The sequence below is a fragment of the Homo sapiens genome, chromosome 2, assembly GCF_000001405.40.
Source record: "Homo sapiens chromosome 2, GRCh38.p14 Primary Assembly".
Taxonomy (NCBI): Eukaryota; Metazoa; Chordata; class Mammalia; order Primates; family Hominidae; genus Homo; species Homo sapiens.
The window spans coordinates 79,493,629-79,517,448 of record NC_000002.12 but is presented as its reverse complement, the minus strand read 5'-3'; the positions used below and the strand labels follow the sequence as shown (position 1 = coordinate 79,517,448).

At 38.4% G+C, this 23,820-nt stretch overlaps 1 protein-coding gene and 1 long non-coding RNA gene across 10 annotated transcripts in view, besides 1 other annotated feature; one reads left to right on the top strand and one right to left on the bottom strand.

The window, feature by feature from the left end:
* Positions 1-23,820, bottom strand: part of CTNNA2 (catenin alpha 2) — a 1,463,404-nt gene that overhangs the window by 1,131,332 nt on the left and 308,252 nt on the right. For 7 of the 9 annotated variants that reach the window (XM_011532556.3, XM_017003403.3, NM_001282597.3 and 4 more), the window contains exon 1: positions 4,242-4,398. The gene's annotated coding sequence lies outside the window, so the exon portion shown is untranslated. Of the gene's footprint in view, positions 1-4,241; positions 4,399-12,266; positions 12,396-23,820 lie in introns of those variants that run through there. The other 2 variants (NM_001399737.1, XM_024452714.2) reach the window with 1 other exon arrangement.
* Positions 16,605-23,733, top strand: CTNNA2-AS1 (CTNNA2 antisense RNA 1). Its single transcript, NR_110289.1, has 5 exons — positions 16,605-16,787; positions 18,207-18,272; positions 18,372-18,524; positions 19,294-19,379; positions 23,553-23,733. It is a non-coding gene; the product is annotated as a CTNNA2 antisense RNA 1 (long non-coding RNA).
* Positions 19,050-19,219: an enhancer, noted in NCBI's record as "experimental_59361 CRE fragment used in MPRA reporter constructs". NCBI's record gives its function as "activates a minimal promoter by MPRAs in K562 erythroleukemia cells, with activity observed for both the introgressed and non-introgressed 2:79725441 variant alleles {active_cell/tissue: K562}" and the evidence as "EXISTENCE:reporter gene assay evidence [ECO:0000049][PMID:34662402]".

Here is a 23,820-nt window from a genome sequence, read left to right as displayed (position 1 = left end):
ATCTTAAGATAATATTCAGGAGGACAATTTTGTATATTATTTGAACTACAAAACAGAAATATATGAGAAACATTTTACTATTTGGGAGAAAACAATGGAATTGTGTCTATTAAAATGGGTTAAACATGAGCATGATAAATACTGATACTTCAAACTTGTGGGTAAAATTTTCTGGAAATCCATTTTTGAATAAAAGAATTCAATTCATATCACTTATGCTGTTGGATAAAGATTTTATGGATAAATTTTTCAAAATAGTTTATGAACCTCAACTAAAAACAAAGGTATGCCAACAGATGTAGCCAGTGAGCATCTGTCTCTCCACACAGAGAGTATACTTAACCTGCTCCATGCAAATTCCTTCCTAGACTCTCTATCCTCATCACACATTAGTCTCACAGCCACAAAACTGAAAGAGCACCATCCATTTAGAATTTATTAATAATCTCGGACACCAATGAAAAGGGGCTTTTGTAATTAGGAAAAGTAAATAAGCCCCTGGAAATACAATTACCCTAACAAGTACTGGCTTCACATAGGTCAAAATACAATAATTTTAGTTATTATACAACGAGATATAGTCCTGGAATATTCATGGGATAAGGAAAAATGAGGGAGAGTTCTAGTAACCATAATATTAAATCTTTATTGTTCAGCAAAGGTCAAGTTTTCCCTCTGCCTTGAAGTTAAAAGAAAAGACCTAAGAATATTCTGGGTCCTCACTATGACACCGATCATGGATTCCATGTCTCAGGATGGGGCTTTAGGTGAGATAAAGAACTGAAACTACCTCCATGGGTAGCTGAACCTTCTATGTAATGAAATGGATCCCACACTAGAAGTTGTCTTAACCCAGTGATAGTATAATTACTCTGACTGTATGTACTCTACCTTTCAATACATTCACCTGTATGCCAAATCTTCCAGTAAATAGTCTCTCTAATGTTCTTCAAACACACCATGCCTTTTCCTCCCTCTCTGCTTTTGTTCCAGCCCACCCTGCATGAAATCATTCCCAGGAGTCTCTGTCCAAGCTCCAGTGCTACTACCAAATATAATATTTTCCCAGCTACACAGACACCCGTCTTCTTCCCAATTCCTCTAGTACTTACTTGCGCTTCTGTCTTTCTAGTACATAATCATATATGGTCTTGGAATGTGTTTAAGTGATTTCTCCTAATTATAATAATGTTTACTTAATACATGTTTTGTTTGTACCAAGTACTGAGCTAAACACATTTAACCTTTAAAGCAAGCCCATGAATCAGAGTCCCTTACAATTTTCATTTTATAGATGAAAAAACAGATTTAAATTGTACACAAGGACATGATCCTCCTAAGAACTAGAGCCTGTACTCACATCTAAAGCTGTCTCCAAAGATCTTGTTACTTGCCACTGTGAAATAGGACCTCATGCAAATGCCTGTTCTCCTCAACTAGACTGTAAGCTGAGGTCAAAGAGAGTGTCTTTTACTTCTTTCTACTTTCTTGGAATGCCTCACACCACTCAGCCTAGGGTTAGGCAGGTGTTAAGAGCTCTGAGGGAGGGAGACACAGAGAATATATCCGGAATACATTTTACAGGGGTCCATAAGATCTTCTATTGGCTCTTTATTGTATCAAGTATTTTTAAAGGTCCAGTCAACTAAAGACAGAAGCCTCTAGAAATGAAATTCTTCAGAGGAAGTCAGTCTTTATCTGCAAACTGGATTATAGTCAAGGAGGCAAGCTGCTTTTCAAAGACACTAGTTGCTCTTCTAAAATGCACATTTTATTAATTGTACTCATCTCTCTTAAAATTTTGCTGTAAAAAAATGTTACTTTGTTTGCTAGTTCTTTAATAACTTGGTATGTTTTGTTTCCACTCAGTGGACTAATGTTTACAAAGGAGGCAAGTGAAAAGTACCTGTGTTTCTATACTAAGCACAGTATCAAAAACTGGGGCATACACCCACACCACTCTGCAGAAAAACTGCAACAAAGAAAGAGCAAAGCCCATAGAGGGGCTGCCACCTCCCCACATTCACAACTCTGAAGCCCCACAAAGAACAGCAGACATACTGGCAGGGGAAAAGTCTTTTGAAAGAAATTTGGACAAAACTAACTTATTATGCTCATGTATAATTAACATGACAGTCTTTCACTTGTTTCACGGTATTCTAGGGAAAGGAACACCAACAAGGAAAACACTCCTATCTACAAGTTCACTATTAAGTAATGCAAGCATTCCAATACACACAGGGTTGACTGCAATCTGCATCAGGATGTTGGTAACACTGGTAATTCAACCAAGCTTTAGTTACATGGCTGAAGAGTCAGCCAAGCCATTAATGGAATTGCATTCCTACCATGGGGAGTTGAAGGAGTCCATCACTCCTAATATTACACACTTCCCCAGCACTGACTCAGGTGATTAACTATCAGCTCTTCATCAAATCAGCACTCAATCACTTAGGAAGGCAATTCTCTTCATCTCAACTCCTGCTTTACACTCCCATAAAATGCAAAACTGCATATTGCACTACTGTCATATAATAATTTAAATGAAAAGAAAAAAATCAATAATGTGTTCCACAGCATAGTGTCTTACTGGCAACTTCAAAGAATCCACCATTAATTTTGGTCCCTCACACATACTCCTTAAACACAAAACACAGCTATTCTAAAGATATTAAGGTTTTTTGGTCTGTTGTTTTAGGAGAATATAAATAGAACAAAATATAGGCTTCAAAATATCCATTTTTGATTTATACTTACACTGTTGGACCCTTCTGAGATGATAAATATGCTAAACATTCTGAGGCATGGCTGTCCCGCCATGTAAAAATAAACTTTACAGCAGCAATGCTAACAGAAAGAATTGTCAAATTGCCAATAACATGTATAATGTAAGGGGTTAGAATGCAAGCTGAAGAGAGCAAGGTAAATTATAGCATTCTGTGAAAATAAGTGATGTAAAACCAACAGCAATTTTAAATTATTAACAATGGTTCCGAAGCTAATTCAACTTTTCCATTGGTGTAAGCCACAAACAGAATCACACAGCATGTTTCTCTTTAAACATCTTCAGGGGTCCTACGAGGTGGGTGAAAATGGGTAAGGGTGTCTGTTAAAGGCTCTAATGCAGCTAATGCCATCTAAATGGTATATTTACAAGCCTGTGGAGTATAACCTCATTTCTCCAAAACTGTCTAACCATTATCCTACTTGAGAAGTTAACCCATGATGAACAAAAGTACCTCTCTTCCACCCTTCTGCTCCCTATTTTCCCAAACCTTTCTATCTTGGTATTTTGTATGCTGAGCAAAACATTCCATAAATAATGCTGTGGTGCACAGGCATTAAAGTTTAGAGAGTTTCTGCCTTTGAAGTAGGTAGTGACAGGACCAAGGACACACGGGTTCAATTCCAAGCCAAATATGAGGCGGGTGGTTTGAAAATGTCAAACCAAAGAGGCCTAGGGGAAAAGAACACAAGCTTCCACTGCCACCTCCCTTCCTCTCCCCTCCCCTTTTTCTCTCTTGTTCCTTTCCTCTCTTCTCCTTTTTCGTTGTGGTTTCTCACGGAGACAATCAAAGCAGGGAAGGCTGGATTTTAAATTGGTGAGACACACACTGGAAATATGTAATTCCCAGAAGAAAAAAAGAAACTGCTGAAGAGGGGTATGGGGGCTGTTGGCAGCATGTCCAAGTGACAACCCTCCCCACCCCCACCCTAATATAGCACAAATCCACAGATTCTTCTTCGATCCTCTTCTCCCTCCAGTTCCCAGTACTCTACCCAACTTGACCCTTCATCCTAAAAATTTAGGAATCTGCAGGGCACCCGCTGTTTAAGAGTGTGTCTCTCAGTATATGCACCCAATTTTCTGGAACCCCTGAATCCGGACAGTTGTAGCAGGCAAGGGATGCTCCCACCCTCCCACCGGGGAAGAGGTAAGAAAGGGGGGAAGAAGAGATGGAGACAAGAGGAAAGGGATGCAGAGCTGTGCTCTAGGGCGAGTGGCTGCAAGGAAGACGGGGAAGAAAGAAAGGGTGGGAAGGAAGTGGGGCTGGGAGAGAGGAAGAAAGGGATGAAAGAAAGGCTGGAAGGGAGAAAGGAGGGGAGAGGAGAGAGGGATGTTGGGAAGGATGAGGGAGGGAGGGTTGGGGAGCGGGGAGGGGGGAGGATGGAGAGGATGGGAGGGAGGTGGGGAGGGAGGGAGGCAGGCAGGGATGGAGGATGCTCTGCCCGGGACTCACCTCTGTGGGTCGGTGGGAGTTTCTCGCCTCCTCCTCTTTCTCGCCCGTTCCCAGCAGCTGGAGTGGTAATCACAGAAGGGACTGGAGAGGCGGCGGCAGGGACAAGGGCAGCAGCTGCTGCAGCCGCCTCTGGCCGAGGTGCGGTGCCGCCTGCTCTGCCCGCCCGCCTGGGTCTCCGCCTCACTCGGGGCTGGAAGCGAAGCCGCTCCCCCCTCCCCCCGCCCGCCCCGCGTCCTGCCCAAGCGCGAGCGGCAGCGGCCCGGATCGCCGCTAGGGGAGGCAGCCAGTGCGCATGCGCGGCCGCTTGCTCGCTCGCGCGCCCCCGCGGTCCCCGTGGCTCCGCGGCGCCTGGAAAGGCACCGGGCATCGAGGGGTGGCTGGGTGGGGGGCCGCGGGCGCGCGCGGCCTGGGGAGCGCCCGAAAGGGCGGGGCGGGGTAGGGCGGAGCTCTGGAGGCGCGGCAGGCTCGGCGCCGCAGGTGGGGGGAGGGGACGGCGGCGAAGGGGCACCGCCGTAGGGCGCAGGTGCCGTGTCCATGACAACCGCGTTACCCTGCGGGCGGGGACCCGGAGCTGAATCGCCGGAGTCGCGAGGCCCGGGGAGAGGGACCGGGTGCGGGAGCGGGCAGGATAGGGGCGGGGGGGATAGGGGTGTCGCAGAGTAGGAAAGGAGGGCCAGCCCAGCAGGGGTCCGACACGTGGCAGGAGGAGGGCAGGGCCAGAGTGCTGCAAAGGTAGTGACTGCCGCGGAAGGGAGGTTTGTTGGGATGTGGAGTCCCGAGGGGAGAGGAAGGGAGATTTGGACTTTAAAAGAACCTAGAAGAGGATGGAATTGTTAAAACAACTGGAATATTTGCTCATTTAACAAGCCTTTGTTGAATATTTTCTCCGTGGAAGGCATTGTGATTCTTTTCTTGATTCAGTGGATATTACTTGGCTCCTAGTTTGTACCAGACACTGTACTTAGGCATTTTGAGATATCCAAAAATGTTCGTCCTCTGAGAGGTTATACTGTAGTTGGGGAACTTACATAGCTAGGGCAGGGAGTGTTTGCGCCGCCAGCCATCGGCAGCTGGGACTCGATGTTGCTGGAATGTAACTGTTACAGAGGTGCTAACAGTGAAAAAGGTACACAGCTACATCAGATGAGAAATATAAGTTACAGTCATCTTTGTTCTGCCACAGTGCCAAATGACAATTTTGTTTTGTTTTAAATCAAGAGAGAGAAACAAAAAGAAAATCTGTGGAAGTTTAGTATGACACAACCGACGCTAAGTTCACAACATGCTACCTGTTTGGTATCCTAGTCCACTAGCATCAGTGCGTGTGTTCATGCCGACACTTGGATGGCTTTATGTCACTTAGTGCATGCATTTTTTAAATTCTCCTTCATCAATGGCTATGCCATTGATATTTTTCCCTCCCCCCTTTTGCTTCCAAGTTCGCGTCTGCAATTGTTTGAAAATTACATAAAATCCTACTATTTTTAATTCTCTCTAGGGAATGACTGGAGAGGGATACCTCTGTCCATGCCTCTATCTTTCTCTCCCAATATCTTTTTGGCTTTCTTTTTTCTTGTCCCCACCACTTTACCAATTTAAAAATTCCTGGGAAAAAGTGAACAGGAGTCACCGGATATTGGCTTAAGAAGAATCTTAGCACGCAACCATGTTTCAGGACCACGGACAGTGACACCGCGTGCTCTTACCACCTAGCGTTTTTCTTAGACTGCCTATAGAAACAGGAGAAACACGCTAAAGGCACACGATGTGCTTCATGAAGTGCCGAGCGCCAAATGATTTGTGCCAAAAGGTATAAAGAGTGGAGAATGAAAAGTGCATACTATGGACTGGAGTAGGTAGGAAGGAGGTAGGCCTTCAGCTGAATTTTGAAGCATGAATAAGATTTAGAGAGGCATCACAAGTCCCTGATGTGGTAAGATGTGGTAAGCACCAGCGAGGTGCTTAAATAAAAAGGGATACTGCATACAGTGTCATTCCAGAGGCAGAAGACACCTATGAATTTGAATGGTCCAAGAATCTGGAAAGAGTAAAGTTGTCCTAGTCAAATGAGGTAGAGCATGCACGTAAGAATTGACTTTTTAAAAAAATGATTATTGTGATCTTTTTCATACTCTGGTCAGGCCTGAGGGAATAAACTAAAAACTACAGGCCAAAGAGTGACCAGACAAATTTATCTCTTTAAGTTCCAAGGATTCATGTATAGTTTTTTGTATTGTTGTAATTAGGCTTACATTTATAATTTTTGTTTTAATTGCAATTAAATAATGTAGACCACAAAAGAAAAATAATGTAAACCAAGTGCTGTCTAGTCAAAATGAGATTTGTCTTGTTTGTTGTTTTGTAGTGACTTTCAAAACTGTAGAATATTATCGAGAGACATTTAAAAGTCATTTCTAAAATATTTGTAAGCTTTTAGTTCATGCAATTGCTTTAAATTAGAGTTATTAAAAAACCAGCATAAAAGCCATCTTTGATTTCTCAGACCCTTGGTCTCCCTCAGTTCTTCAAAATACATCAAACTGTGGTCTGTCAATCAGACAGTGATAAGAAATTACTCAGGCAATGGGTTTCAGTCACCAGCAGGCAAATGGCAGCTGAGATTTTTGTTCCCTGCTGCCAAGGAATTTACTAACTCTTTTATGTTTTGAATAAAGGGGAACCCTCAACCCTGTCTACCCTATGGAAAATCCAAATTGAATGTTACTACAGCCATATTTATTTCCCTCTGATAACAGTCTAAATATGCTTGTATAAATAATGGCTATTATTAGATGCTAAAATGCTATCATGTTGTTTGTCCCCATTGTAAACTAAGGGGATTTTTTAAAACCCTTATTTCTTTTGTTTTGAGTCTGCTTGTGAATCTGATTGTTTTTGATTTTCTTGATTTAAGTGTTGTCCTTCATTTCAATGACATAAACATATACAGTCCTCAGAAAAACAAGCAATTTTCTTCTTTCCCTCACTCATATTAAAAATTTATGCCAACATAAATATCAAACAAAAGGATCATTGTTAAAGGTATGGCATTGTGTTCAAATGCAGAAGATCCTGTATGTAATTATAATACAATTTAATGTGCAATCAAATGACATCTAGATTTTTAGGATACTCCAAGCCAATATTGGCATCTTAAGTAAAATTTTCTGTATTGCTTATTCATTTAAATGTCAGGTCTCTACACACTAGGACCCTAATTCAGTCTGTCAGCTCCAGAAATTTCACTATCAAGCCCTCCTGAGCAATTTCATTGCTTTAATAGACTTTATTTTTTGGAGCAGTTTTAGGTTCACAGAAAAATTGAGTGAGAAGTACAAAGAGTTTTCATATACCTCCGGCCCCCACAAGGGCACGACTCCCTGTGATCAACCCCTGGACCACAGTAGCATGTTTGTTACAATTGGTGAACCTATATTGACACATCATCATCACCAAAGTCCATAGTTTACATCAGAGTTCACTCTTGGTTTTGTACATTTTGGGGGTTTTGAAAGAAGTATAACGACATGTATCCACCACTATGGTATCATACTAGTTTTACTCACTAAAAATACTCTGTGTTCTGTCTATTCTTCTCTTTCTTGCTCCTAACCCCTGGAAACCATTGGTGTTTTTCCTGTCTCCAAGTTTTGCCTTCTCCAGAATGTCATAGAGTTGGGGTCATGCAATATGTAGCCTTTTCAGATTGGCTTCTTTCACTTAGTAATATGCATGTAAGATTCCACCATGTATTTTCATGGCTTGACAGCTCTGTTTTTAGCACTGAATAATATTCAGTTGTCTCTATTTACCACAACTTATCCACTCACCTACAGAAGGTCATCTAGATTGCTTCCAAGTTTTGGCAATTATGAATAAAGATGCTATAGCAATTTCATCTTTTAAGGACCTCCTAAATATTTCAGACCCTGTCACTATATTTATTATGTATCAATTGAACCCCTGGATTTCTCCTCATATGGTCCAGCTTTTTCCTACAAATCTAGCTGCAGATTTCTTCTCTTGTCTGAGAAACAACCAATGAAACTTTCACTTTTGTCGTTTTATGTATTCCTTTTACTATTAAAAAATTAAAATAACTTGTTTTAAGTTTTTTGTTTTGTACCAGTAGTTTCTAACTCTAATTTTCATTTTTTCAAACATATTTATCATTTGTATCCCTAGGTAATTGTTTATATATATATATATATATATATATATATATATATATATATATATATATATATATATACTGCAATGGTGAATATATATATATGTTTTCAAGTAAACAGAATGAGTGTTTTGGGATCCATGTGTGTAATTGTTTTATCTTTTGCTTGTTGAAACATTTCAACCATAACCTTATATAGGTAGAATGTACCATATTCTAGTTTGTGACATTGGACAAGTTTTTTAATGTCTATGACACTCAGTTTTCCAGTCTGCAAAATGGAGGCAATTTTTATCTATCTTCATGACTTTCTTGTGAGAATTTTATGAAATAATACTTGACATGTTTTAGCACACTGTTGTCCATAAATAGAGCTGTATACTTGCTTTAATTAATACTTCTAATATCAATGAGTCAATTAATCAAGCAGTAAAATAATATTATTCCTCAGTGTCTTTTGACCAATTTGAATCTGTTTCTATCATCTTTTATTTCCAATTAATCTTTTTCTTTAAAAAGAAAGAATAAGCTTTAATATGTCTTCTCATAGTAATTGTATCTCTCTCATCTTCAGGTTCCCTAATAGATTTACTTTCCCTTTAGGAGAAAGCCGAGACTGCTGTCTGTTTAATACATTTTGAAATTGTGTCATTTTACTCTCAATTGTCACCCTGGAGCATGTTTTTCCTGTATCTGCTCTATGGAAGAATAGTTTCAGTCTTAATTCTTTCAAAAGCAAATGACTGAAGTCCAATTTAAGTTTTGAGCAAAAAGGAAATTTTGGCTCACATACCTGAGAAGTCTAAGGTGTGTATATATGAGGCTAAGCTAGTCCAGGGGATCATCAAAAATATTAATCATGGCAAGGGATATGATTATACTTGCTGGAGCCTTGTGTTCATATTTGTGTCACAGATGACTGTGACCAGAGGAATAGCACACTCTGGTTCATATGTTCACTCCTGTGACCTTATGCAGGAAGAGGAGAAATTCCTGAAAAGATGTTGAGGAAGGACATGGGAAAGTAAGTATACTGCACAAACAAAAATTACAGCTGCTCAGCCCATTCATCACTGTGAAGTTATTTGAAGAGTGATTTCCACAATAAATTGTATTGGCGTGTGCTGGGTGAAAAGCATTTAAAGGTTTTTCTTTAGTGAATACACAGAAAACAATAATGTGCATGAAGTTCATTTAAGAGAAATATGTGTAGCATTTCCCACACTTATATGAACAAGGAAGCCTCTCTCACAAAATATATCTCGTGGCTAGATTCAAAGGAACATGCTTTGGGAAACAGCTGACCTTAGTTTTCACCTTACTCTCCTGTTCTTTGACTCACAGCTTATTAATGAGCTTATTTCTGTTCTTCCTTGATTTAAAAAATGTCTGATCCTCTTCTTAGTCTGTTTTTTGCTTCTATAACAAACTGTCTGAGACTAGGTTATTTATAAAGAAAATAAATTTATTTGGCTCATGGTTCTGTAAGATGGGAAGTCCAAGATCGAAGGGTCACAGATGGTGAGAGCGTTCTTGCTGCATTATCTTATGGTGGAAAGGCAAGAGACAGCAACCGAGAGATCAGGAGAGGAAGGGGGCTGAATTCTCCTTTTATCAGGAACCCACTCCTTGATAATGGGTCCACTCACCACACCCTCAGTAATGGCATTAATCCATTCATGACCTAAACACCTCTAAAAGTTCCCACTTCTCAACACTGTTGCATTGTGGATTAAGTTTGCAACACATGAACATTAAGGGACACATTCAAACCGCAGTATCCTCACTGCCACTTTTATTCTTATCAGTGAATACATAATTTTAGAACTCAAAGAGACTTTCGTGATAGTTTTTTCCTATCCAGCCTCCTTATTTTTCAGATGGCAAAACTGAGACTCAATGTGTTTTTCTTTCCCATAATCACGAAACTAGTCAATTGCTGAATTAACCATATGGAGTAGGTTATGCTGAGGTAAGAAATAACACCCAGATTTCAGAGGGTTACATGATAGCTCTGTTTATACAAGATTCCCTTTCTGAGACCCAAGCTAACTGAATAGCCGCTATCTGGAATCTAATTCATGACTATTATACAGGGAAAGAAATAAATTAATTGGTCTGGCCCTGGAGTGACTCGTATATTAGGGCAAAACTAGTCACATAACTCCTGTGACCACAAGATGCTTTGAAGTACAAAACCACCATGTGCCTGGCAATCAAAATATTTCACAAACAGTCCTGAATACCATAGTGAAAACGATTTGGGACAGAATCTCCTGATATCCAGAATACAGAGGTATTTCCTCTACCACTTTGAATTACCAAATATGTTTTGATGATGTATAATAATGATAGATAATACTTACAGAATAGTTACTGGTGATATTAAGAGGTTTCTACACATTAGCTTTTCCAAAGATTACCAATATCAACCACATTTTTAAGATGAAAACACTCTGTGTTTCAAATTCCTCATCTTAAAGATGTTGATGTGAAGAGTACCTCTAATTTTGAGGTTCTGAGTATAATTATTGTACCATGTCATAGAGTTGGCAGGTGGTACAGGTGGGTTTATAGCCTATGCAGTCTGACTCCATGGTCCATACTGCTCTTCCCAGCACTCTGATACCTCCCTGCTGATGGAAGAGAAACAATTCCTTTGTATAAGTCAACTTAACTCAGCTTGGACGTGGTTGAAGAAATTCCTTTTTTTTTTTTTAACTTGTAACACATGCACCAATATACTTTGCAAAGGAGCTTTAGGGAGTTAGAAAAAAATATATGTTCCATCGAACAAAGTTTTAAACCACCTACCTCTACAGAGGTAATTTCAAAGACATAGAAATGTCCTTATTTACATACAAATGCACACATGCACACACACATTATTTTCCTGTAGTATTTCATTTGAAAAAGTGTTTGGCTGATTAAAAAATATAAATGCCACTGAACTAATAGATCTCCAATTCTACAAACACTATTGTTCCAGTGCCTGTTTACATTGTGTATTATTATGACATTCTTACTAAAGGCTCAAACCCAATCTTGTTAAACTCAACCTTATTCAAAAGCTCTGGCACATTGATTCATTCCTCCATTCAAGACAATTTTGACACTTGTGTATTGGGTGACAGCCACAATTCTCAATGTTGATTATTTAGGTAAAAGACACAGTTTGTACCATTAACAGTCTCATACTTTAATGAGACAAACTGACAACTCGAGATAAATGCAATATAATGTAATGAGAGTGCACAGAGCACACTATTTATGGATTATCCAATGTCTATTCCCATCTATTCCCACTCTAACAACTGTACACCTTTCCATAATGCAGCCCACATGCTTTAGCCTGAGGTTAATCTCACCTCTGGCTCCAGGAGCCGACCTTGTCTAACTGGACTTCCACAGGCATTGGTTGAGAAATTCAGGCCTTAGCTCATTGCCGTATTTCATTCTATGGTCACAGATTTTGATATAGAAATTGACATATTATGGAGTTTGGGAGCATGGAACAAAAACAGAAGTTTTTAATGGATTCTGAAAAATAACTAACTTCTAAAGAGAGCTAATAGAAGAAATGTCCACTTTTCTTTCAATCTTAATTGCATTTTAGTGTAGAGCAAGGAAATAAATCAGTCGTTTTATGACTGTATCAGTCCAAGCCCAGGAAGAAAAAGGTAAACAACTGTAGACAGTTCAAACACGTAGAATTTAAAATAAGGAACTGATTATGCAGGTGTTAGAAAAGTTGGGAGAGTGAAGAAGAAAAAATGAAAAAAACCAACGATTAGCAACGTTAGGAAACATCTACTGCTGCTAGGGTATGAACCACAAGAGAAGAGATGTCTTACCAGTGCTAAGGCTGTGCTGCTGGGAGTGCCATCAAGGAGGGCCCATCTGAGTCAGAGCTGGAACAATGGAGAGGGGGTACTGTTGCAGAACCCATGGTCCTTGAAGGAGTGCATCTAAATCCAGAGGTGCTACCAGAAAGAGAAAGAAAGATGTCACACTACAATAGCATCTCCTCTCTTCCTGCCTTCCTGTCTTCTCCCAGTGTCTCCTATGGATATAACTTAAGAAACCAGCTGGAAACAGAGCCTAGAAAATTTAATATCCAGATTCCCCAACCATAGAATTATGAACAAAATTAAAGAATGGTGGGAAAAGCGGCAAAGTAGTCAAATAATCAACACTTTCAACTCTTTGGCAACTCAGCCTCCATATACACCCTTTTCACTGTACTTAAATTTTAATACAACTAAAAAGACAATGACATGATGTTTCTCCTGATCAAGATGCATCCACTCTTTATATAATGAAAGATACCCTCACATTGTCCCCAAAAGTGGAATAGGCAAAATCTTATGACTTATATGCCACCTATGAGTTTTCATCCAAAGTCACAAGTCCATCCAGATACTCCGTCATTAAAGATTAAATTGTAGGTCGGGTGCGGTGGCTCACGGATGTAATCGCAGCACTTTGGGAGGCTGAGGCAGGCAGATTACCTGAGGTCAGGAGTGTGAGACCAGCCTGGTCAATATGGTGAAAGCCCGTCTCTACTAAAAATACAAAAATTAACCGTGTGTGGTAGCATGTGCCTGTAGTCCCAGCTACTTGGGAAGCTAAGGCAGAAGAATTGCTTGAAACCGGGAGGCGGAGGTTGCAGTGAGCTGAGATCACACCACTGCACTCCAGCCTGGGTGACAGAGCAAGATTCCGTCAAAACAAAACAAACAAACAAAAAAAGATTAAACTGTAAATTTAACCACTATCTTTACTCCTTATATTAAAAGAGATAAAGGAAAAAAAAACAGTAGTTCACATATTCACATATATAGTGGTATGCTTTAGTACTCACATTAGAATAACTTTCTTTATCTACCACCCATTCCATGATACTTTGCCCCCAGCCACAATCTCAGTTAATATCGTCCTCACTTGATGGGAATGAGCCAAATCTTCATTGCTGAAGGTCTGAGTCCTTAGTGGAGTAGCCTCTTTGGGTTGTCTAAGCTTCTAACAATTATTCCCATTGAACTTTAGAGCGCTTCAGGAAACCTCCTTCATTCCAGATATAATTCTCTCTGTCTCCACTATAGAGCAGCAACTCAACTTCTCCTTGGTAATCAGGATCAATCACTGAAAAATCATGGTAATTCCTTATTTTTCTGTTGGTTCAGTAGAATAAGGACCCAAAATGGCCGGGTAGTGGATCAACTTCCATTTCAATGAAAGAATTATATCCAACATTTGAAACATTTTTTATTATGAAAATAAGCCCTCACAACAAACACAGCCTACAATTGTGGGCATTGGGGGAAAATAGCTGTTCACTTCTCTTTCTTTAATGTATTAGGGTAAAACAATATCATATATGATGTCTAGTAAAAGCTGATACTACATAGTGTATGGAAACATCCTACATTTGTAAATTATTGTCTCTCAGCTGGCACAGTATCTAATATGTCAGTAGGGCATTTTATGTTTCTGTTAAGGCAGCTGCTTCTAAGCCAATAAGTATGTAGTAAGATCAGGGAATTGTGTGACACCATTGCTGCACTTCTTTTGCTTTGTAATAAGTTCTTTGGTCAGAAGCAATGTAGTACAGAACGTCTTGATGGTGAATATGACACGCCAAAGGCCTTCTGATGGTGGCTTCTGGCACCAGCTAAGGGACAATAATCTACATTTCGAGTGTTTCCATATACCACGTAGTATCAGTTCTTATTAGACATCATATATGATATTGTTTTACCCTAATACAGTAAATAAGAAGAGAAATTAACAACCATTTTCCCTTGTGCCTGCAACTATGAGCCCTGTTCTTTGTGAGGGCTTATTTTCATAATAAAAAAAATGTTGGTGCTAGAAGAGGCACTGGAAGCAGAAAAAGCAGATGAAATACCCAAAATAAATGGCAGAGCAATCACTCTGATACCAGGTGGTTGCCTGGTCTCCCCAAGGAATAGTGCCATATCGGGATATGAGCTGGACCTCTGCTGTTAAACTTGTGCCTGCACACAGCAAGGATGGTAGTCAAATCGCTTTGGTAAGAGAAGGTCTATATTGTTGAGCCCTTGCAGAATCTCTATACTTGCTTCTGTGGCCACTTTATACATGAGCCCATTGATCAAGCCCTAAAGAGTCTAGGAAATTGCAATCTAGATGACATCAACAGACCAGGTCATCATGTACACATTTTCTGTGGTAGTTAAGCATTTTCACTAAGCTTCTGTTATTTAGGAATTTCATGATTTCCACTAAAGCTAGGGAGCCTGTTTCAAAGTTGGTGTTTTCCAATATCATCCCCAGCCAACAAAAGACAGCCACCACAAAACTCATCTCCTTTAATTTTCCTATGGATAATTATAAAATTATATAAAAGAATAGAAATAGCATAATTATTCCACTATTACCCCAGCACTCAGCTTCAACGATTATCAGTTCATAAGCCATCTTCTTCCATCTGTATTCATATTCACCACCTCAATCACAGTTTTGAGGATTCTAGTACTTCTCTCACTAATGCATTTCTCAAAACCTGAATGAAGGGAGTGTTATGTGTGACAGGGAATGACCAAGTCGCAAATCACAAATGCAGTCTGTTATTTTTGTATCCCAAAGCTGTAGAATTTTTCTTCACTTTTATGCCAAGAAGTTGTACATTCTCAACATTATTAAATATAAGCCACATTAAAGTCTGATGTTGTGTCCACAGTTGAGCCATTCCTAGCTACTCAAGATAGCACATGGCAAAAAGAATCTCTGTAAATCTTTCTTTCTTCCAAAATCTTTAGAATCTTTCCCACACATATTCTCCAAATTTTAGCTAAAATGAGTAAAACTAATAATACTCTTACAATAACTTTTTGTATTTAAGTCACATTTCCCTGGGTAAGATTGTATACTTGTGCCCCAGGTGTTTGCTAAAATCAGACTCAAACTGCAGTTTTGAAGGCAGTGAAGCATGGTGGGGATAGGTCTTATGAACAGGCATCCACTTGAAAGTAACTTCCTTAGGGGAGGTAATTGCAGGGCCTTGAACTAAAAAAAAAAAAAAAAAAAGACTAATATCCTTGAATATGGGAGACTATTTCTGCTAGCAATAGAAAGTTCAATGAGATTTGAGGGTTCAGGGTCGTCGGATTCACCTCCATCTACCCAAATATCCCTATTTCAAACCCCAGAGTCCCATTCTTTCCCAATTAATGCTCTAAAATATACACAAGATCATGTGCTTTTAGTTTCACATAAGATACATGATGAGGCAGTAAATTCAACTTACATTGTAATTCTGGAATTTTCACTTTTAGATTTGGGATGGGATTTGTGATCTTCCCTGAAACTACAATAAATGAGCAAATATTTTAAGACCACAGTGAAATTTCCCTGGTTCCCTGACCTGCCTTGAACTAAGATTTTAAAGCACTGGGCTTGTAATTTTGTTTCTATAAGCAATCTAGTGCAGTATTAGAGAAAAAAAATCTTTCCCCACAGTCTTTAGTAGTCATCATCACTATTACGGCAGTTGAATGCATTGACCACTTTATTTTACAGAGCCTTGCCTTAAGAAGGCCTTTTATCTAAAGCAACAACAGATAAGCTGAATGCAGTGGCTCACTCCTATAGATCCAGCTACTCAGGAGGCAGAGGTGGGCCAGAAGTTTAAGACCAGCCAAGAGGCCAGGAATTTAAGACCAGCTAGACTGAGTGATAGGGCAAGACTCCATATCTAACAAATAAATAAATAAACAGAAAAATAAACTTTGAATAAAGCCACAACAGATAATTTGGTAAATGTGATGTCATGGCATGTCATGGATTAGCAGTAACCCATTTTCCATGGGTAATAAGGTCATCATTATATTCAAACTGTACAAGCTACCTAACCCAAGAATCACATCACTGAATTAACAAGACAAAAACAAAAACAAAGGAGAGTACCTTATTGTTTTAAAACAATAGACTGTAATTTAGAGGTCTAATTCAGGAGCCTTGTTACATTGTATTGAGTCTGAGAGAAGTAAAATAAAAAGTACACCACAGATTAGTAATTGCTGACAGTGGCTGCTTCATCAAGTTCTTGGAAAACAAAAGTGACAAAACGGTGTAATCAGAGCCCAGAAGAACACTCAGTGCTTCCCTGCTAGGGTAGCTAGTTTAGACAGTGCTGAAACCATGACGAAGAAGGCCTGCAGCTTGTCCTAGAACCATGCAAGAGGGACCATTGAAGCTGAAGGTGGATTGCTGTTGGGTGGAAAGGATGTAGTCACTCAAAAATGCTGCCAGAAGAAGAGCAAGAGAAAAGAACAATAGCTTCTCCCGTGAGACAATCTCATCCCTCCACTAGTGTCTTCTCTTGGAATGATGTGAGTAGAGGTCTGCTGTCAAGAAAGGCTAAGGAATGCATTTTGTATACCCCTATTCTCAGTATTTCAGAGCAGAGAAGGGTGGGGTGAGAGAAAGTAGAAAAATACACACTGTAGCCAATATGATTTAGAAAAATCTTTCAATTTTTTGTGTGTATTTCAATTATTCTGTGTAATTTCAATTATTCTGAGCCATCTCCTGGATAAGAAGGACTGCATTTGATTCCCAGGTGAATATAAAAGTTTGACTCGAGTTTATTAAGCATCTACTATATAATTACTGTTTGTATCCCATAGAAATGGTGGTAAACAAGAATAATGCCTGTATTATAGAAATGGAGGTAGGTAACAGGTACATAACAAATAAATATGTAATATAAGTTTAGATGTTGAAAAAAGCTATGAAGTGAAGTAAAATATGATAAAGGTATAGAAGACACAGAAATTAGTGGAATTTTTCAATAGGGGCTTTGAGGAATTTCTTTTTGAAAGGTCATGAATGAGCACAGATCTGAAAGAGTATGTGAGTGTGATGGTGAATTTTATGTGTCAACATGAAAGATATTTTTGGATGAGACTGACATTTAAATCCATGACCTTTGAGTAAACAAGAATGGCCTCCATAATGTGGGTGGTCCTCATCCAATCAGCTGAAAGCCTGAATAGAACAAAAAGGGAAATCTCCAACAGATGGCATTCAAAATTTGTCTGTACCGTCGGCTGTCCTGGGTCTCCAGGCTGCTGGCCAATATTGCAGATTTTAGACTTGCCAGCCTCCATAATCACGAGTCAATTACTTACAATAAATCTTTTTCTATATATACACACAAATCATATTGGTTCTGTTTCTCTGGAGAACTCTGATAATACAGTAAGTGGTGCCTGCAAGGCTCCATGTAGGAGCATTCTGGGCCTATGCAGTAGCAAATGTCAAGGTCCTAAGAAAGGAACAAGCTTGTCACAATGAAGAAACATCAAAATGGGATACTATAGCCAGTGTGGAGTGAGTGAGAGACGAGCATCAGCAGATAGGACTAGAGAGCTTTAGAGGGGTCCTATTACATAGGTGGCGTAAGAAATCTAGAGGGGAGCTCTAAAGGGGTCCTAATAGTGTCTGTGGCTATGGGAAGGATTAAGGATTTTATTATAATTGCGATGAGAAGTCAGTAGAGTGTTTTGATCAGGGAAGAACATAATCTAATTTTAATTTTCAACAGATCGCTGTGACTGCTATATGGAGAAGTGATGTAGGGGACACATTCAGATGTACACAGACAAGGTATCAGGGAATTGCATCAGTCTAGGAAGGATATCATGGTAGCTTTGTGAAGCCCACCCTAGCTCTGACTTCAGTTTATGAGATTCAGTTTTTTTTCTTATTGTTTAAGATACTCTGACCTGGTTTTCTGTTACTTGCAGCTATTGTGCTCTGAGTGGGTAGAAAACATGATGGCAAGTGTATGGTGCTGAATCAAGGTAAAAGAGGTCAGTGAAAAGGATACCTTCCTCTTAAACTAGGAAGTTGATGGTCTTTGTTATGCAGTTATAGAAAAGTAATTTATAACAACACTTCTTCTGCCTTAGGAAATGATTATGTACTCACAGAGGGTGGAACATAAAGGTGATTGGAAAGAATCAGGATGTCAGATTGTGTTGGATTAGTCTTCCAGCCTTCACTGAGGTCTACAGTATAGATACTGGATTGGCTTAAATTGAACGTTCTGCAAATAAGAGAAGGTATGGAAGAAAATATCATTCTTTTCTGCCTCTGCTCGGAAAAGCAAATTATTTCAAATACACTAATGTGGAGTTTGATAGGGAAAGGAATGCCAAGTCTTATCCCCAAGGTGAAGTTTTTGTTAACAATTCAGGATAATAGGAGACCTGGAAGGTTGACAAGATTAGTATACAACGTGAGCCTACTCTTCAGACCTCTCTCAAGAAAATTCTGCTAAACATTCCCAACCGATGAAGTAGTTAGCCATGCCATTCAGAATATGCAGATAGAATTTAATCTGGGGGTAATTATGAAAGTTATGGTGTCCTTGTACCTAAGGGTTTTTTTTTAATTGCTCCGAGGCAGCGGTTAAGATAAAGGTGCCAATCAAGGTCCAAAGGAATGGACAGCAAACAGAAGCTTGTTGCGAAGAAAATGAAATGATCAGAATCAGACTTTGACCAGATAAACTACTGTGGAGACCATGCTTGCTAATTTTTTGCATGCAAAAGATCAAAGCCTACTAACTTTTTAAGGGAGCTGTACTGCCAAAGATATTCCAGGCCTGGCTCAAAACAGTCTTTAACTGCTCAAACACAGGACATCTCCAGTCCCTCAGATTTGCACCTACTGGGACTGGACTACAAACGTCACACCATCTCTAGAAAGGACACACTCTTCCATGTCCATTTTCAATGCGGTCATGAAAGAAAATAGACAGAGATCCATCCTACCAGTGGAACTAAGTACTGCCAATTTGGCTAACCAAGGATCTCATTTCTCTTTCAGGTATATTCTTGTCCAAGAGGATGTGGTATCTACATATAGGAGGAAAGATATACGTGTACATGTGGTGGCTGAACCATTTGATTGTGGTGAATATTGCTGAATACTTACTATTTATCAGTCTTCCTTTTCCTCTTCCTGACAGCATGACTGTGTTCATTCATGTGTCTAAGGAAACTAAAAAACAACAAAAATAGAACTGTGGCCACTGAATCAATGTGCCCTACCCTGTACTTTTATATAAGCCAATACAGTTCTTTATTCTTCAAAGAAATTGGAAGCGGGTTTTCTGTTACGTGTATTCAAATGCACCTTGAAATTTATATATAAAGTTAATAATTGCATGATATACAAATGCAGATAGGAACATAATTCCTAAAAGAGACATTGCTTAGACGAAACAAAAGGAGAGTAGTAATTTTCTAAGACAAGAGATAGCGATGATATGCAGTTTAAGTACTGTTTGGACTACCTGAGTACCATGATTTAGTGTGGGGTGTTCTAGTGGAAGATACCCTATCTTCACTTCAGTAAGAGAAGAATTAGTGGACATGGGTGTGCTAGGTTAACTGCAGGACACCAAAGGGAGTGAGTTAACAAGACACTGAGAAATGGTTAACATTATCTGATGTAACATTACGCTGTACAGAGCAGAGAACTGGAAGGGATAGAGAAATAATAGGTATTTGGTGGCTTTAGATGACAGGAGATGCAGAAGATGACAGCAGCAGGAACAAATACTAAGAACGAGATGGGTCAATGTCATTGACAACTAATACAGTAATATGAATAGCCAAGAGTTGAGAATACAAAATCAAAAGCCTAGAAGTAATTGAATCAATAAGGCAGAAATGTGTAAGATGATAGATGGCAACCAGTAACTGACACCCAGGGCCGTGCTGGGGAAACAGAGAGACGTTGTGAGCTGGGCTGAAAGGGAGAGTACGGTCTCCATGTAAAGAACCTGCTGCTCCTTAGCTCCTGCAGGCCCCTGCCATGTGGGACTGTGGGATGGCATTGCCGGAGCTTCCAATTATGGTACACGTTGGATCCAGATTTGTATGAGAAAACTCCTTATTTTAAAATGTTGACAACTAATTCAAATTTTGAACACTGTGTAGGCCTACACTAGGCAGGCCAAAAAGCAGCAACAAAAAAGTATCTGTATGCTGTGTTAGGTCCCAAAGCCATCAGTTTTCTATATATGGCCTAGGGGAATTTTTTAGGAACAAATATTTCTCAAAGTAAAGAAAGCATTTTCTGATGTTCAGCAGTTCCTACAGTTTTACTTATTTCTTCTTTTGTTGCTGTTAAACTCCAGTAAAGTTAAGTTTAATATTTTTTTATTTTAAAGTCATGTAGAACTTGAACCATTTTAATATAATTATATCTCCTTCTATGTATAGTTCAAAGGGTAGTTATAGATAAATAAATACATATATAAAATTATATATATGTACACAGGCGGTAGGGCTAGACAAAAAAAGAGAGAAAATAAAAAAGTATTCAAAATTAGGAATAAGAATGGAGTTAATATCAACAGATGCAAAGGTAAATATGAATAAATTAATAAATCCCCAAAATGGAAGATATTCTGCAAAAAAAAATAATATTGGCTCATTCAAAAATAGAAGTAGAACATAGTTATATGCCAGTGAGTGAAAAATTTGTCAAAGAACACCATTGAAAGTATTTTGTCTGTATTGAGTTTATACTTTCCAGTTTTCAACTTTACAATTTTGAGGAAAATAATTGCACTTGTAAAGTATCTATTCTCTGAAGATCCATTGTGTTTAAGATACAAACTACATTTTAATTGCATGTAGAATACTTTCAGACTCTTTTACACTGACAAAAACTAATTTAAAAAGTTAGAATATTCATATTAAGAAAAATATGACAAGTCTAAAAAGAAAAAAATTCTAAAGCTTATAAACAGAAACAATTGCTAAATTTTTTTGGTAGCCTCAAACTTTGGATAACAGAAAATACTTTTTAGAATATTATTTGTTTAGAATCATTTTTCCCATTTAAAGTATACAATTCAATACTTTTTAATATGTTCATAGTTGAGCAACTATCACCACTATCTATTTTTAGAACATTTTCATTACCCCAAAAGACATTCTGTACCCATTAGCAGTCATTTGTCATTCTTCTTATTCCCTCCTCCCTCAAACCATTAATCGCCCCTCCCCTTCTTAGCCATAGTAAACCACTAGTCTAGTTTCTATCTCTATATAGTTGCCAATTTTGGACATGTCATATAAATGGAATAATAATATATGTAGTCTTTTGTAACTGCCCTCTTTCACTTCGAATATTTTCAAGGTTGATCCACAGTATCCATGATACTGTATCATGTATCGGTACTTCATTTTTTAAAAAATTACTAAATAATATTACTTTTTCTGGATATACCACATTTTTAATCCATTTATCAATTAATAGATATGTTATTTCCACTTTAGGCAATTAATTATGAATAATGCTGCTGTGAACACCTGTGTATCGAATGTGTTATAATTCCTCTTGAGTATACACCTAAGAGTGGAATTGCCTGGTCACGTGGTAACTCTGCTTATTATTTTAAGGAGATGACAAACTGTTTTCCAAAGTGACTGCATCATTTTACATTCCCATCAGCAATGTATGAGGATTTCAATTTATCCGCATCCTTGCCAACATGTTATTATTTTTATTTTTGATTATAGCCATCCTAATAGGTGTGATTTGGTATCTCCTTTTGGTTTTCATTTGCATTTACCTAATGGATGATGATAAGCATCTTTTCATGTGTGCTTATTTGCCATTTGTATATCTTCTTTAAAAATACATTTATTCAGATCTTCTGTCCATTTAAAAATTACATTATTCAAATTTATATTATTGAGGTGTAAATGTTTTTATATATTCTGTATATAATTCTGTATCAGATACAAAATTTGTAAAATACTTTATTCCATTCTGTGGGTTGTCTTTTCCTTCTATGGTGTCATTTGCAGCGCAAAAGTTGTTGTTTTTTTGTTTGTTTGTTTTTTGTTTTGTTTTGTTTCGAGACGGAGTTTTGCTCTGTCGCCCAGGCTGGAGTGCAGTGGCGCAATCTCGGCTCACTGCAAGCTCCGCCTCCCTGGTTCACGCCATTCTCCTGCCTCAGCCTCCTAAGTAGCTGGGACTACAGGCGCCTGCAACCACGCCCAGCTAATTTTTTTTGTATTTTTAGTAGAGAACCGTGTTAGCCAGGATGGTCTCGATTTCCTGACCTCGTGATCCGCCCGCCTTGGCCTCCCAAAGTGCTGGAATTACAGACGTGAGCCACCACGCCCTGCCAAAAGTTTTTAATTTTGAAAAAAATTCTGGTTTTTTTTTGGTCTTGTCACTTGTGCTTTTAATGTTGTCTCTAAGACATTATTGCTCAATCCAAGGTCACAAAGATTTATACGAATGTTTTTGTCTAATAACTTTATAATTTTAGCTATTCCATATATATCTATAATCCATTTTGACTTAATTTTTGTACAGTGCAAACAAAGAGTACAAATTCTTTCTTTGGCATGTGGATATGCATTGTTTCTAGTAACATTTGTTGAAAAAATCTTTTGTACTGAATTTTCTCGACACTTTCATGGAAAATCAATTGGTCACTAATGTGCAGTTTTACTTCCCGGGTCTCTACTGTAATCCATAGATCTACATGTCTATTTTTATACCAGTACTACACTGTCTTGATTACTGTAGCTTGCAGTATGTTTTTAAATCCAGAAACGTGAGTCTTCCAAATTCATGTTTCCTTTTTCAAGACTGATTTTGCTATTCTAGATCCCCTGCATTTCCACATAAATTTTAGGATTGGTTCGTCAATTTCTGAAAAAAAAAAAAAATAGGGCAGCTGGGAATTTTTAAAGGATTTGATTTGAATCTGCAGATAAGTTTGGGATGTTATCTGTTCCATGAACATGAGATATCTTAACATTTGTTTATGTCTTCTTTAATTTATTTCAATAACGTATTGTAGCATTCAGAATTCAAATATTGCACTTGTCTTGTTAAATTAATTCCCAAATTCTTTCTTTTTAATTATATTATAAATCAGTTTTTTTCTTAATTTCATTTTTAGTTTAGATTGTTCATTGTTAATATATAGAAATACAATTGTTTTCTCTATATTGATTTTCCATCCTGAAATATTGTTACCTCGTTTATTATTTTAATACTTTTTGGTGAATTTCTTATTATTTTAATTGTTTTAACTTTTATTTCAGGATCAGGATACATAAGCAGCAAGTTCAAAGACTGAAGGAACAAGGAATATCAGCTCATAAAGATGAGAAAGAATCAGAGCAAGAACTCTGGCAACTCAAAAGCCAAGGTGTCTTCTTACCTCCAAACAACCATATTATTTCGTTAGCAACGATTCTTAACCAGACTGAGATTGCTGAAGTAACATAAGCAGAATTCAAATATAGATAGAAATGAAGATCACTGACATACTGGAGGAAATCAAAACCCAATTCCAGGATTTTTAAGATT